The 12,805-nt window shown below is 48.9% G+C and overlaps 1 protein-coding gene and 1 long non-coding RNA gene across 6 annotated transcripts in view; one reads left to right on the top strand and one right to left on the bottom strand.

Moving 5' to 3' along the window:
* Positions 1-12,479, top strand: part of LOC107984123 (uncharacterized) — a 60,858-nt gene extending 48,379 nt beyond the window's left edge. The window contains exons 4-6 of one of the 2 annotated variants that reach the window (XR_007060540.1): positions 78-173; positions 3,915-4,026; positions 6,311-12,479. This is a non-coding gene — a long non-coding RNA (uncharacterized LOC107984123). The remainder of the gene's footprint in view (positions 1-77; positions 174-3,914; positions 4,027-6,310) is intronic. The other variant, XR_001745376.1, reaches the window with a different exon arrangement.
* The window catches only part of STRA8 (stimulated by retinoic acid 8), a 26,749-nt gene continuing 25,472 nt past the window's right edge, over positions 11,529-12,805 (bottom strand). For all 4 annotated transcript variants that reach the window (NM_182489.3, NM_001394401.1, XM_011516137.3 and 1 more), the window contains one exon: positions 11,529-11,774. In NM_182489.3, the coding sequence (NP_872295.2) occupies positions 11,700-11,774 (75 nt within the window). In that variant the 3' untranslated portion in view covers positions 11,529-11,699. The remainder of the gene's footprint in view (positions 11,775-12,805) is intronic.

Raw genomic sequence — 12,805 nt, 5'->3', positions numbered from 1 at the left:
TGACTGTCTCTGCTCCAGGGGCAGAGCCAGCGCAGCCCCCGGTCCCCATGGATGTGTCGCTTTTGTCTCCACTCCAGGGGTTCTCCAGCCGGCCCAGGTTGTTCAGATGCTGCTGACCATGGGCATGTTCATCAGTGGATTTCTGGGTTTTCTTCTAGACAACACCATCCCCGGTAGGACTCACCTCGCTCCTGAGGTAGGGCAGGGTAGGGCAGGCCTGAGGTAGGGCAGGGGTAAACATGGGGCCACTGGCTCTAAGGTGACAAGACCGGCTCTCTTCTTCTCTAAAGAGGCAGAGGGTCCTGCTGGCCTCTCCATCCCCTCCCCCTCTGGGCCCACTCCACCAGGCTGGTGTTCGGGAGCAGTAAGGGGCACCCCCACTCCTTCTGCCCCTCCTCTACATCCCTGCCGCTCCAGCCTCATCCAGCTCAGGGAACTGTGGCCCAGTGTTGTCTACCCAAGCAGAAGGAAAGCTGAACACATAGCCAGCAGTCCTCTGTGGTGTCACCACACACTGCTGTCCCCTGCTCTGTCCACACATGTCCCTTGGCCCTGCCTTCCCACTGCTCTTCAGCCTCCCCTTCAGGAGTCATGGGGTGGGGACTGAAGAGCCCTTCCAGGTAGACAAGGGGGTAGCGGGCCAAGGAGGCTAAGTCCAGGTGTGGCAGGACCGGATGTAGCCTGCTCAGACTCTAGACTACTTGTCTACCAGAGTAGACTGCAGGCTGCTGGGAAGTTGAGCTCACCATTGCTTTGGGCTTCTCCAGAATCTTCCATTGTTTCTGTAGGGGACTCAATCTGGATTTCTTTTTTTTTTTTTTTTTTTTTTGAGACAGGGTCTCACTCTGTCACCCAGGTTGGGGTGCAGTGATATGACCACAGCTCACTGCAGCCTCAGCCTCCCAGGCTCACTGACTAATTTTTGATGGACTCTGGGTCCTACTAGCAAGAAAAAATATCCATGCCCTCCTTCAACACCTCCTCTCCCACCAGGAGCTCTCTCCTGGCTTGGCCAAACCCTCTCCTTGGGGAAAAAGAGGGGGAGACATGTTGCTGTGGGGATGGGGGAAGGGGGAACATCTGCAATTGTTCCAGGAGCCCCTTCTAGCAGGGGCTCCTCTGCCCTCCATACTGGCCATTCACCCATTGCTGCTTGGCATTGGGTGGGGAAGTCAGTCCCTGTAACCTACTTTCCAAGGCTTGGTGATTTTCCGTCTCCCATCAGAATGGGCGGGAAGGGTGTGTGTGCTCGGAGAGGGGCAAGTGCGTGTATTCTTGTGTGTTAGCAGTGGGGGCCCACCAAGTGCAATGTCTGTAACTAAGCGGATCTAAAAGCTGCGCATCCCGGCTCTCAGGGAGGGAACACATCAGGAGTGCGGACCCCATGGAGATGGGTGTGTATGGGGAGGCAGGGCTATGAAGGGCACAGATGCTCTCACTGTGGTCTCAGACTTCTTCCTTTCCCTCCAGAGCTCCTTCAATAAAACCTTCAAATAGCCTTTCATGCCGAGTGACCTTGGAAATGGGAGGGGTCACCAGGTGGGGAGGAGGGGCTTACGACCTGGCTTTGGGATATGCTATGGGAGCATTTCTCCAGGTGGGAAAGTAAATCAGCGGGATTTCTTAAGGGAGGCGTCCTGAGACCGTGAGCCAGAGTTGGGAACGCACAGTGAGATCCACGTGATGCCAGATTCCCTTCAGTTCTGCAGGGTGGTGGTAACAGGAGCCAAAGGGGAGGAATTGACAAGGAAGAGGGAGATGACTTCGGCGTGTGCAGTTTCAAGCACACACATGCAGGGATGTTTATTCCGACCCTCTGTGTTGGGTGATGGGTTCAGAGTGGCCAACCCTGAAGACCAGTCCTGGGGTGCATTGGACCAATGCCCTGATGTCCCCACCACTGACTGTCAGGCACCTCAGTGAGAAGGGCAGACATTTTTTGTCTCCTGGAACAATTCTAGTTGCTGTCCTTCCGGAGACAGTGGACCCAGGAGGAAGGAGGAGTGTCACTGAGCATGAGGAATTTCAGTCTTTAAGGGGGCGAGAAGTGAAGCAGGGGAAGGAGTGTGATACAGCTGAATTCTAGAATATGATGGAGCAGAGTGATAATAATACTTCTAAGAACAATCCTGAATGATGCCCAGTGAGTGAATTTGCCCAGCGAGTCCTAGATCCTGGAATATTATAGGAGTAGTCATGCCTGCGTGCTTGGGAGTTGAGTGAGAAGTAAATAAAAGGAAACAGGAGCATGACAGATAATATCCCCAAAGATGATCCAGGCTGAAAATACCTTTAAAAACTTTGACTCACAGATGGATCCTAAAGGAAAGGGAGGATCTTGCAGGTCCTTGAAGCCTGGCATCCCTGTGACCTGGCAGGCTCTTGTAGAGTGCTGTACCTGCGGCACCCCCAGCTCTGCCCCAGCACAGCCATCAGAAGATGGTCACAGCCTCTAAATTCTCTGCTGAGCCACACAAGAGATCTCTGCATAATTAGTCAGAGTCCTTTTGGCTGCAAATGAGAAAAGTTTAACTAAAAAAATGGGAAGTGGGTGGGATTTGTTGGTTCTTGCAGCTGGGAAGGAAGGAAACTGGGAGAGGTAGAAGAACTAGGGCCTGAAGGATAAGAACCTAGGCTTCTCTCCTGCCTGTCTCTCTCTGCCTCCCTTTGCTGCTTCTCCTTGCTTGCTGACCTCATCCTCTCCTGCTGCAGCTGAGGATGATGCCCTCCTAGCCTTCCACTGTCATTGCAAAGGCAAAAGAAAAACACAGCCTTCCATTGGCTCTACCAGAAACATCCCAGGGAGGACAATGGTAGGTCAGAGTATTCTATGCAAGGAAGTTTTGTAAGTGCCGGGCTTGAAGACTTTATCTTTCTTGTCCCTGTCATCATTTCCTATGGCTGCTGTAACAAATGACCACAAACTGCGTGTCTTGAAAGAATACAAATGTATACATTCCTGGAAGAAATGCAGCTCAGAGGTCTAAAGTGAGTCTTACAGGGGCACCAAGGTGTGGGCAGGGCTGCTTCCTCCTGGAGGTTGTAGGGGACAATCCATTTCCCAGACTTTTCCAGTGTCTAGAGTCTAGAAGGGGCCCGCATTCCTTGGCTTGTGGCCCCTTCCCCGTCTTAAAAGCACAATACTCCCACCTCTGCTTCCCTTGTCCCATCTTCTGTTTCCTTTGACCTGTGTGCCTCTCTTTTATAAGGACACTTTGATTACATTTGGAACCCACACAGTTAACTTAGGATAATCGCCCCATCTCAAGATCCTTAATGTAGTGATTAATATATCTGCAAAAGTCCCTTTGCCATAGAAGGGACTTTGCCATAGAAGGTGACATTCACAGGTTTTGGTGTTTAGGACATAAATATCTCTGGGGGCCATTATTCAGCCTACTACAGTCCTTAATTAAAAATCTTATACAGGGCAAGGCACTGTGGCTCATGCCTGTAATCCCAGCACTTTGGGAAGCCATGGCAGGAAGATTGCTTGAGCTCAGGAGTTGGAGAGAAGTCCTGCCAACCTAGCAAGACCTCATCTCTACAAAGAATACAAAAATTAGCCGGGCATAGTGGTGTGTACTTGTAATCCCAGCTACTCAGGACACTGAGGCAGGAGGATCACTTGAGCCCGGGAGGTCAAGGTTGCAGTGAGCCATGGTCATACCACTGCACTCCAGCCTGGGTGACAGAGCAAGACCTTACCTCAAAAATAAAAATAAAAATAAAAATAAAAAATCCTATACAGTAGCCTCCCCTTATCCTTAGTTTCTCATTCCCTGGTTTAAGTTACCTGCAGTCAACTGAGATACAAAAATATTAAATACAAAATGCCAGAAATAAATAATATGTAAGTTTTAAATTGAGTAGCCTGATGAAATCTCTCACCATCCTGTTCTTTCCCACCCAAGACTCGAATCATTTCTTGGTCTAGCATCTCCATGCTGTGGAGGATACCCGCCCCCTTAGTAGCTGTCTTGGTGATCAGATTGACCGTCGAGGCACTGCAGTGCTTGTCCTCAGGTAACCCTTGAAAATATTACGATATTGTTATAATTGTTGCATTTTATTGCTGGGTATCTTGTTATTAGGGATGCCTAATTCATAAACTTTGTCATAGGTATGTATGTATAGGAAAAAACATAGTCTATATAGGGGTTTGGTACTATCCTTGATTTCAGGCATCTGCTGGGGGTCTTGGAATGTGGTCCCCAAGGATAAGGGGGAACTACTGTATTGGTTACTGTCTTAGTCTGTTTGGGCTGCTATAATAAAATACACTAAAAACTGAGTGGCTTAACAGAAATTTATTTCTTATGGTTCTGGAGGCTGTGAAGTCCAAGATCAAGGAAGGCACTGAGAGATCTGGTGAGAGTCTACTTCCTCACAGATTGCCACCTTCTCATTGTAACCTCACAAGGTGAGGGGGAGGAGGATCACTCTGGGGCCTTGATTGTAAGGGCACTAATTCCATTCACGTGGGCTCTGCCCATGACCTAATCACCTCTCAAAGACCCCCACCTCCTAATACCATCAGAGTTAGGATTTTAACATACAAATTTTGGGTGGACACAAATATTCAGATCATAGCATTTCCTTTATAGTATGGCAGCTCTTCCTTAAGAAAACAAGCCTGAAGATTTTCTACACTTTGGGAAATTGGTGGGCACAGAGATCAAAGCCTGGTTACATGGTCACTTTCACACTTTTATTAATTTACTATTTTTTTAAATAGAGAGATGGGGTCTTGCTATGTTGCCTAGGCTGGTCTCCAACTCCTGGGATCAAGCTACGCTCCTTCCCCTCCTAAAGTGTTGGGATTATAGGCATGAGCCACCATGCCCAGCCTTCAAAAAAAATTTTTTTTTAAATTTTAACTTCACATTTTTAAACACACTGCCCAGAGTCCACAGTACTCTTGCTTTTATGGAAGATATCTTCCTTATGTATACACTTAGTTGACGAAAAGTCATGTATTTTTTTTCACCGCTTGCTAGTGAAGTTTCTAAACAAATTCTGCTCTTTTGAAGAAGTTTTTCTTTCCTATTTTATGTTGATTACATAATGTATCCAATTTGTTCTTAGGAGACATTTTGCAGTCTTAGCCCATGCAAAAATCGACAATTATTTTTATGTAATCTGTGGTAAGCCATTCCTCTACACATTTTTCTTTTTGTTACATAGTTAGATAACATATTTATGTGAAATGTAACCTTTGCAAAACTCTACTGGAAGCTGACTAACAAAACTAGTACTTTACTTCAGGATAGTGAGGAATGGGGAAGAACTTTAATTCCAGATCCTACAGGACATCTCTACTGTGCTTTTGCTTTGAACCTCACACCATTGGATTTTCTACCTATGCACCTTTTTGTTGTTGGCATCTACAGACCAACCCTCCTTCTCTGAGGATGTTAGTGTGTTGGTCACTGTTCCTGTCTCCAAAATTCTTGTCTTCATAGTTGGAGACTTCATATCCACAGAGCTCATCCTTCCCACACCTTGGCTTCTAGTTCCTTGAGCTCCATGATCTGGCCCTTTTGATAGCAGCAGGAGGCAGACAAATTCCTAGACAGACAGGGGCAGATCCCTGGTGAAGCCTGACCTTCAAACCAAAGACAGCTTAAAGCTTGAAAACCAGGCCTCCAGTTCCAGGTAGAGTCTATGAGCCAGAGTGAGAACTTCCTTGTTTAAGCCTGAAAACTGGGCTGCCAGTTCCAGGTAGAGTCCACAAGCTGGAGTGAGAACTTCCTTGTTACTTTTTTTTTTTTCTTGAGACAGAATCTTGCTCTGTAGTCCAGTCTGGAGCGCAGTGGTGTGATCTCGGCTCATTGCAACCTCTGCCTCCTGGATTCAAGCAATTCTCCTCTCAGCCTCCCAAGTAGCTGGGACTATAGGTGCATGCCACCACACCCGGCTAATTTTTGTATTTTTAGTAGAGACAGCTATGTCACTATGTTGACCAGGCTGGTCTCAAACTCCTGACCTCAGGTGATCCGCCTGCCTCGGCCTCCCAAAGTGCTGGGATTACAGGCATGAGCCACCATGCCTAGCCCCTCGTTACCTTTTAGCCAATCCAATGGTGATTTTTCCAGGCCTGCCCATACACCAATCAGCACACATTCCCCCATTCTGAGCCCATAAAAACCCCAGACTCAGCCACACACTGGGACTACCTGCCTTTGGGTAGGGTCTACTCACTTTTGGTCCTCTCTCCTGTCAAGAGCTGTGTTGTCACTCAATAAAACTCTTCTCTGCCTTGCTCACTCTCTGGTTGTCTGCATAACCTTATTTTTCTTGGATGCAGAACAAGAACCCAGAGCCCACCAAAGGACTGGCGTGAAAGGAGCTGTAGCACTGTATCCGTCCCACCCTCCACTGGCACCGGATGGCTGCCCCACATGACAGGAAGTGTTGGTGTGACCAGACCAGCAGCCCAGGAGCCATGGGCTAGAGTGGGGCATTGGGACCGAATGAGCGGTAACATGAACAAGCTGAAACACATTCCTGCCCAGCCTGCCAAGCTGTGGGCAGTGACACGCTCTTATTTGCCAGACTACAAGAGAAGATCTGTGACCCTTCTGGGGGCCCATACCTTGGGGCTCCCCAAGCCAGAGCTGTGACATGCTGTAACACCCTCTTGCAGCTCCACGGTTGCTGGTGTCTTTGAGTTTTCAGGCACCACGGCGTTCCCCTTGTTGGGATGCCAGTGCCCAAGGTGGAAGCCACTTGAGGCATACCTGGTCCAGCCACAGCCTCACATGGTTCTGACACCTGGAGCTGCCTGCCCTTCTGCAGCAGCTGGTGCACCTGGCTCTGTGGTGTGGCTGGACCCTGTGCTCACTCACACACCTCCCACTACTCCGCGCCTGGCTCACCCATGATGGGAATGGGATCTGGGCCAGTAGTGCAAGCTGAGGACAGCCTGCTGGGCTGAGTAGGCAGAGCCAGCCCAGCAGTTGTGAGCAAAACTTGGTCAGAGGCGCCACTGGTCACAGAAGTTTCTGGCTGGTGAAGTGGCACTGAAAGAATCCTGTGTGACTTTGCTCATCTCAGTTACTCATTCTGTGGCCACATCTCAGACTAGCCTTGGGGATTCCCAGTAGCTGTGCCTGCAATCCTCAATTTCAAGCAGTTGTCTGACCACCACCTCCTATTTTTCCAGCTCACTACTTCTAGTCCCCCAAGTCTAATAACTCTTTAATTGGCCAGGATCTGAATCTACCGTCCTCCCACCTTCCGCTGGTCCCCTCTTCCCTCCTTGAGCAACCTCAATGCCACAGTCAGTCATAATAACCACCTTCTCGCATTTGCAACGCCCTTAGTCTGCTCTCTTCTTTACACTCTCTTGGCAAAACCTGAACGCTGATGAGAAATAACTCTTCACTCTGCACCTGCACTCGTGCAGTTGAGCATCTCTGGGGAAAACATACAGTTGAATGGAGTGGTTTTAGATTCAGACCCTGAACTTCACGGGATCCTCAGTGCCGCCTGGCAGGCAGGAACCCTTTCCCAAGCACACTGCTCTCTCTGCTAAAACTCTTTCCACCTCTGTCTTCTTCTTCTTTTTTTTTTTTTTTTTTTGAACTTCACGGGATCCTCAGTGCCGCCTGGCAGGAAGGAACCCTTTCCCAAGCACAAGGCTCTCTCTGCTAAAACTCTTTCCACCTCTGTCTTCTTCTTCTTCTTTTTTTTTTTTTTTTTTTTTGAGACGCTCACTGTCACTCTGGCTGGAGTGTAGTAGTGCGATTACAGATCACTGCAGTCTTGACCTCTGGGCTCAAGGGATCCTCCTGTCTCAGCCTTCCGTGTAGCTGGGGCTACAGGCATGTGCCACCGCACTCTGCTAATTTTTTAAAAAATACTTTGTGGAGACAGAGTCTTGTCATGTTGCCCAGGCTAGTCTTGAACCGCTCGGCTCGAGCAGTCCTCCAGCCTTGGCTTCCCAAAGTGCTAGGATTACAGACATGAGCCACCATACCCAACCTCAGCTTCTTATTTCAGAGAAATCTGTAAAGGAGTAATCAGATGAGAAACTGTGCAAACACCTGCATGTCTCCACTCCTAGCTTTGGTGCCCCTTGACTCTCCCTCCTGTTGGGTGAATGAGCTGCCTGGCTCCTCCCTGAAGCTGGTTCCTCCCCTTGTGCTCCAGAGCCCATTCCCTGATTTCTATTCAAGGGTTTCACTGCGACAAGTCTCCTATCTTGCATCAAGTTTTCTCTTTCTTTCAGTAACGCATGTCAGCATACACACCTGCTGTTATTTCTGCTATCTTAAAAAAAGATTTTTTTTCTTAAAAAGAGACTTTTGTGAGTGTGTGCCATGGTAGGCTTAAAGTAACAGGGTCCCGCCCATCTAACATGCTGTAATAAATGTGCTGGAGCTGAGGACCTGCGCTTAGCTGCTCCAGGAGTCCTGGATGCCTCTCATACCAGTCAAGAGCAGGCCCATCCTCTTTCCTTACCCTACTGCTTCTGTGCCCACAGAAGCCCTTCACATCCTGTCTCATTCTGCCCTTTGTTCCTTTTCCTTTGGTTGACAGCTCCAGGACTTCAGAACATTCCCTATGTTCTCACCAAACAGCTGCCAGGCAGCCAGGCTCAGTTTTCCAAGTGGGTTTTCCTGTACTTTATTTTCGTATCGTGCTGTCCCCAGGCAGCCAAAGCAGGATGAACAGCAGGAGAAGAGAGCCAGGCCCTCTCCTGGAACAGCCTCCTGGTCTTCCCTCAGCTGTACTTTTTTTTATTGTCAGAACACGTAGTTTCAGAGCTTCAGGAACAAGGCAGCTTTGTGAGAAGCATATGCAAGAAGGGACAGATTTCTGACATTTCCATAAAAGCACAAAGGCTTGTTTTGTTCAGAATCAAGGTTGGAGAAGTAGCTGGTGGATAAGAAGTAATTGACGAGATGGGCTTGGGGTAATTAGCTTGATTCAATTAGCATGAGGTGGAACTGAGTTACCCAAGCTAGATGTCAGCTCAGCCCAGCCACCACCCGCCCACACCATCTGCACTCAATAAGCATTTATCTGTTGGAGCTTTTTCTGCACATTCCAAGGTCGCTATCAGAATCTGAATCCCCTGTTCTGATAATGCAGTGCCTAGAGCCACGGCCTCGCAGCTTCCCTCCTTCACCTCCAATCTTGCTTCTTCCCGCCTCCACTTGACCTCCCATGATCCCCCTCCCAGTCATCACCTAGAGGTGATGCACAGAGTGGCCGACAGAGTGAACTCCAAGGGCTGGCTTCACATTCCTACATCCTAATTCTTTAGAGGCAGGGCTTTTTTGTGACTTTAAACAACAAAATTGTTCCCCATTCATTAACTTATTGGGGATAAAAAGAGTTAGAGGTGAGGTGATCTGAGATTCTTCTATTAAATGGTTTGGGGCTTCAGTTAAATCATTGTTTCTTCATCTGTCAAATGGCAGTAATAACAGAGGCCCAACCTCCACAGGGAGCTGCTATAACAACAACAACATAAAAATCCCCAAGGGGTACCCGTGATGTTGGTTTCATGTGTCAAGCTGGCCAAGCTATAGTATCCAGTTATCTAATCAGGCACTCCTTTAGGGGGTGTTGTGAAGGCATTTTATAGATGTGGTTAACAAACCAGTCCACTTTAAATTAAGAAGATTGCCCTTGCTGATGTGATTGGGGCTCACCATCCATTAGCTGAAGGCCGTAAGAACAGAACTGAGGTTTCTGGGAGGAGACATTCTTTCAAGACTGCACTGCCAACTCCAGCCTGAGTTTCCAGCCTCCTGGAAGCCCTACAGATTTCAGACATGCAGTCCCCACAAACAGATAAACCAATTTCTTAAAATAAATCTCGGTGTCTCTATATCGTATTGGCACTGTTTTTCTGCAGAACTCTGATTGCTACAGTACTGACTGATATAGGAAGATACCTTCCCGATACAAGTCCTTGGTGGGGAGGAAGGGAGATTGAGAACCACGTGAAGGTAGTTTTATGCAATAACTCCATCCCAGGCTATGCCAATACCCAAGGCTGCAGGAGAGAAGCAGAGGGCTGTTGGGCTCACAACCCAGCACAAGGTTGTGGGGGGAAGGGACACCTCCACATCCTGCTGAGGTCCTCTCTGACTAGGGGCTGCTGGCAGGTATGGCTCAAGGAATGAAGTCGCAGCCTTGGACTAAATAGGATCAGGGTGGAGCTTGGTACAAAGAGGGAGGGGCTGGCTAGCACTGGCATACATTGCTTGAGGGCCTACTATGTGCACGCCCCTCTGTAAAGCTGCATTTCTTCTTTCCCACACAGCTGGCTTGGTGAGCCTCTAGGGGTGGCCAACCTGAGCTCCTGCATTCCTGTCTTTCCAGCAGGAGTTCAAGCTGCCCCTGAGCACAAAGGCCCTTCCTGCCCAGCTCCTGGAGAGCCTCCCTCTGCCCACTCGGTGCGGTGATTTGTAAGCTGTGAAGGGCTTGCGAAGCTCCTATCCCTGCACACCCCGGGGGAAGTCCTTGAGTGCGGGCTCATGCATCTCAGGACTGCTTTGGAGTCACACAGGACTGGGTCTGGGTCCTAAGACTTAGCCGGTGTTTCAGACTCTCGCTAGGAGATAACACAGTCCAAGCCTTTGGGAGGGCCTCAGTGCAGGGGAGGGGCTGCTATGATGCCTTGAAAACTGTAAAGAGCCATGCAAGCCCATTCTCCCCGCACACCCTGCATTAGTCTGGGTTCTCCAGAGAAATAGAGCCAATAAGATGTGTATATACGTAGATACAGAGAAAGAGAGAGGTGAAATATTTATTTTAAGGAAGGGACCCATGCAGTTGTGGAGGTGCAAGTCTAAAATCTGCAAGGCGGGCCGGCAGGCTGGGAAGAGCCGCAGTTCAAGTCCAAAGTTGGACTGCTGGCAGGATTCCCTCTTTCTCCCGGGAGGTCGGTCTCTTTCGATTCAGGCCTTTAACCTATAGGAAGCATTCTGAGGATCATCTGCTTTACTGGAAGTCTCCTGACTTAAATGTTAATTTCATTAACAATACCTTCACAGAAACATCTAAAATAATGTTTGACCAAATTCCTGGGTATCACAGACTAGCCAGGTTGACACATAAAATTCACCCTCACCCCCAGTGTCCAAGCCCAGGTACACGTATGCACCCTTTGCCCAGAAGCCTCACCAGAAAGCCCTCGGAACCCTCGGACCTCACTGTAGCTCCTGTTCAGGTGACTTTATTACCAGGAGCAGCAGATGAATCTGGTTCCACCCAGCTGTCCTGTGGCACAGGGTTGAGGTCAGCACTGCCCCTGGCTCTCAGAGTGTGCAGGATGAGCAGGTGGGCTGTGGAACTCTCTAGAACCCATCAGGGCAATGCCCTGTGCCCAGGACATGCTGAAAGTACCTGGTGTTATGTCACCTCCGAGGACAGATCCTGCCTGTCCTCCTTGAAAGGCCCATGGCCTGGGCCCCAGCTGTACTTTCTACCCCCTTAATAGGAGCACAATAGCAGCAGGCCAGCCCTTTGTGCCAAACAGTCCCTAAAGACCAACACGAGGCCGTGCTTCTCTTATACTTTATAATAATCAGAAACTAAAATCATCAAAATGCTTCTGGAACAACCCACTCCAAAGAGTCCTGGAGGCCAAGGCAGGTGCAACCTTAGCTGCCAGCATTCAACCTTGGGAACTGCCCACCTCATTCAGTCCCTCCCCTCGCAGCTCCTCTTCTGCATTACAAATCTTCATCGTCAAAGGTCTCTGTGCACTGCAACATGATCATCTCTTCATCAACGGGAAAGGATGCTTCCTGCAAGACACAGGGTGGAAGAGGGTCACTTTTTATCTGTGGGTCTTGGGCCCGAGGCAGATAGGAAGGCTCCTGCATCTCCGGTGTGCCCAGCCCCCAGACTCTATCCTACGTCTCTTCCGCTGCATTTTCACCTCCAGCTTGGGCCAGGAAGCAAGGGCTCTAAGGGGGGAAGGTCCCATTTCCATTTCACTCAACTCAGCATTCTATGACCTCCAGAAAGGACACAGCAGAACTGGCTTCTTTTTTATCCTGGGGATTTCCAGGTTCCCACAAGAGAGACAGAGGACCTCATAAGGCTTTATCCAAATGCTCATCAATAGAAGACGGTGCACTGCACCACGGTGCTCCCACCAATGAAACACCATGCAGCTCATTTCCAACAAAAATAATGAGACAGCGTGCTCTCTGTGGGATACACTATTTACAAAGGGCAAAGTGCAAAGCAATGTGTACCGTAGGCTACTACTATTTGTGTTTGAAAGAATATATAATATCTGTAGAATATCTTTGGATGAGTGTACAAGAAACTGGTCACTGTAGTTGCCTCTGGGGGAGGGTATGGGGTAGGAAGCAAGGAAGAGAGAGAGACTAAGTGTCCATTGTATATCTTTTGGTAACTTGTAAATTTTATGCCATGTATATGGGTTACCTATTAGGAGATGATATTTTTTTAAGCAGCAGCACTGCAGCTGGTCATGATGGCTCAATGCCTGTAATCCCAGCACTTTGGGAGGCCAAGGCAGGCGGATCACCTGAGGTTAGGAGTTCGAGACCAGCCTGGCCAACATGGCGAAATGCTGTCTCTACTAAAAATACAAAAAAATTAGCTGGGCATGGTGGTGTGCGCCTGTAATCCCAGCTACTCGGGAGGCCATGGCATGAGAATCACTTGAACCTGGGAGGCAGAGGTTGCAGTGATCCAAGATCACACCATGACTACACACCATCCTGGGTGAAAAAAAAAAGCAGCAGCACTGTTTGCTTAGCAAGGGTTTCTCAGTCCCTAAAGGGACACTGTAAACAGTGAT

This window comes from Homo sapiens, chromosome 7, assembly GCF_000001405.40.
Source record: "Homo sapiens chromosome 7, GRCh38.p14 Primary Assembly".
Lineage (NCBI taxonomy): Eukaryota > Metazoa > Chordata > Mammalia > Primates > Hominidae > Homo > Homo sapiens.
The sequence above is the reverse complement of the archived record's forward strand: the minus strand, read 5'-3'. Positions and strand labels throughout refer to the sequence as shown.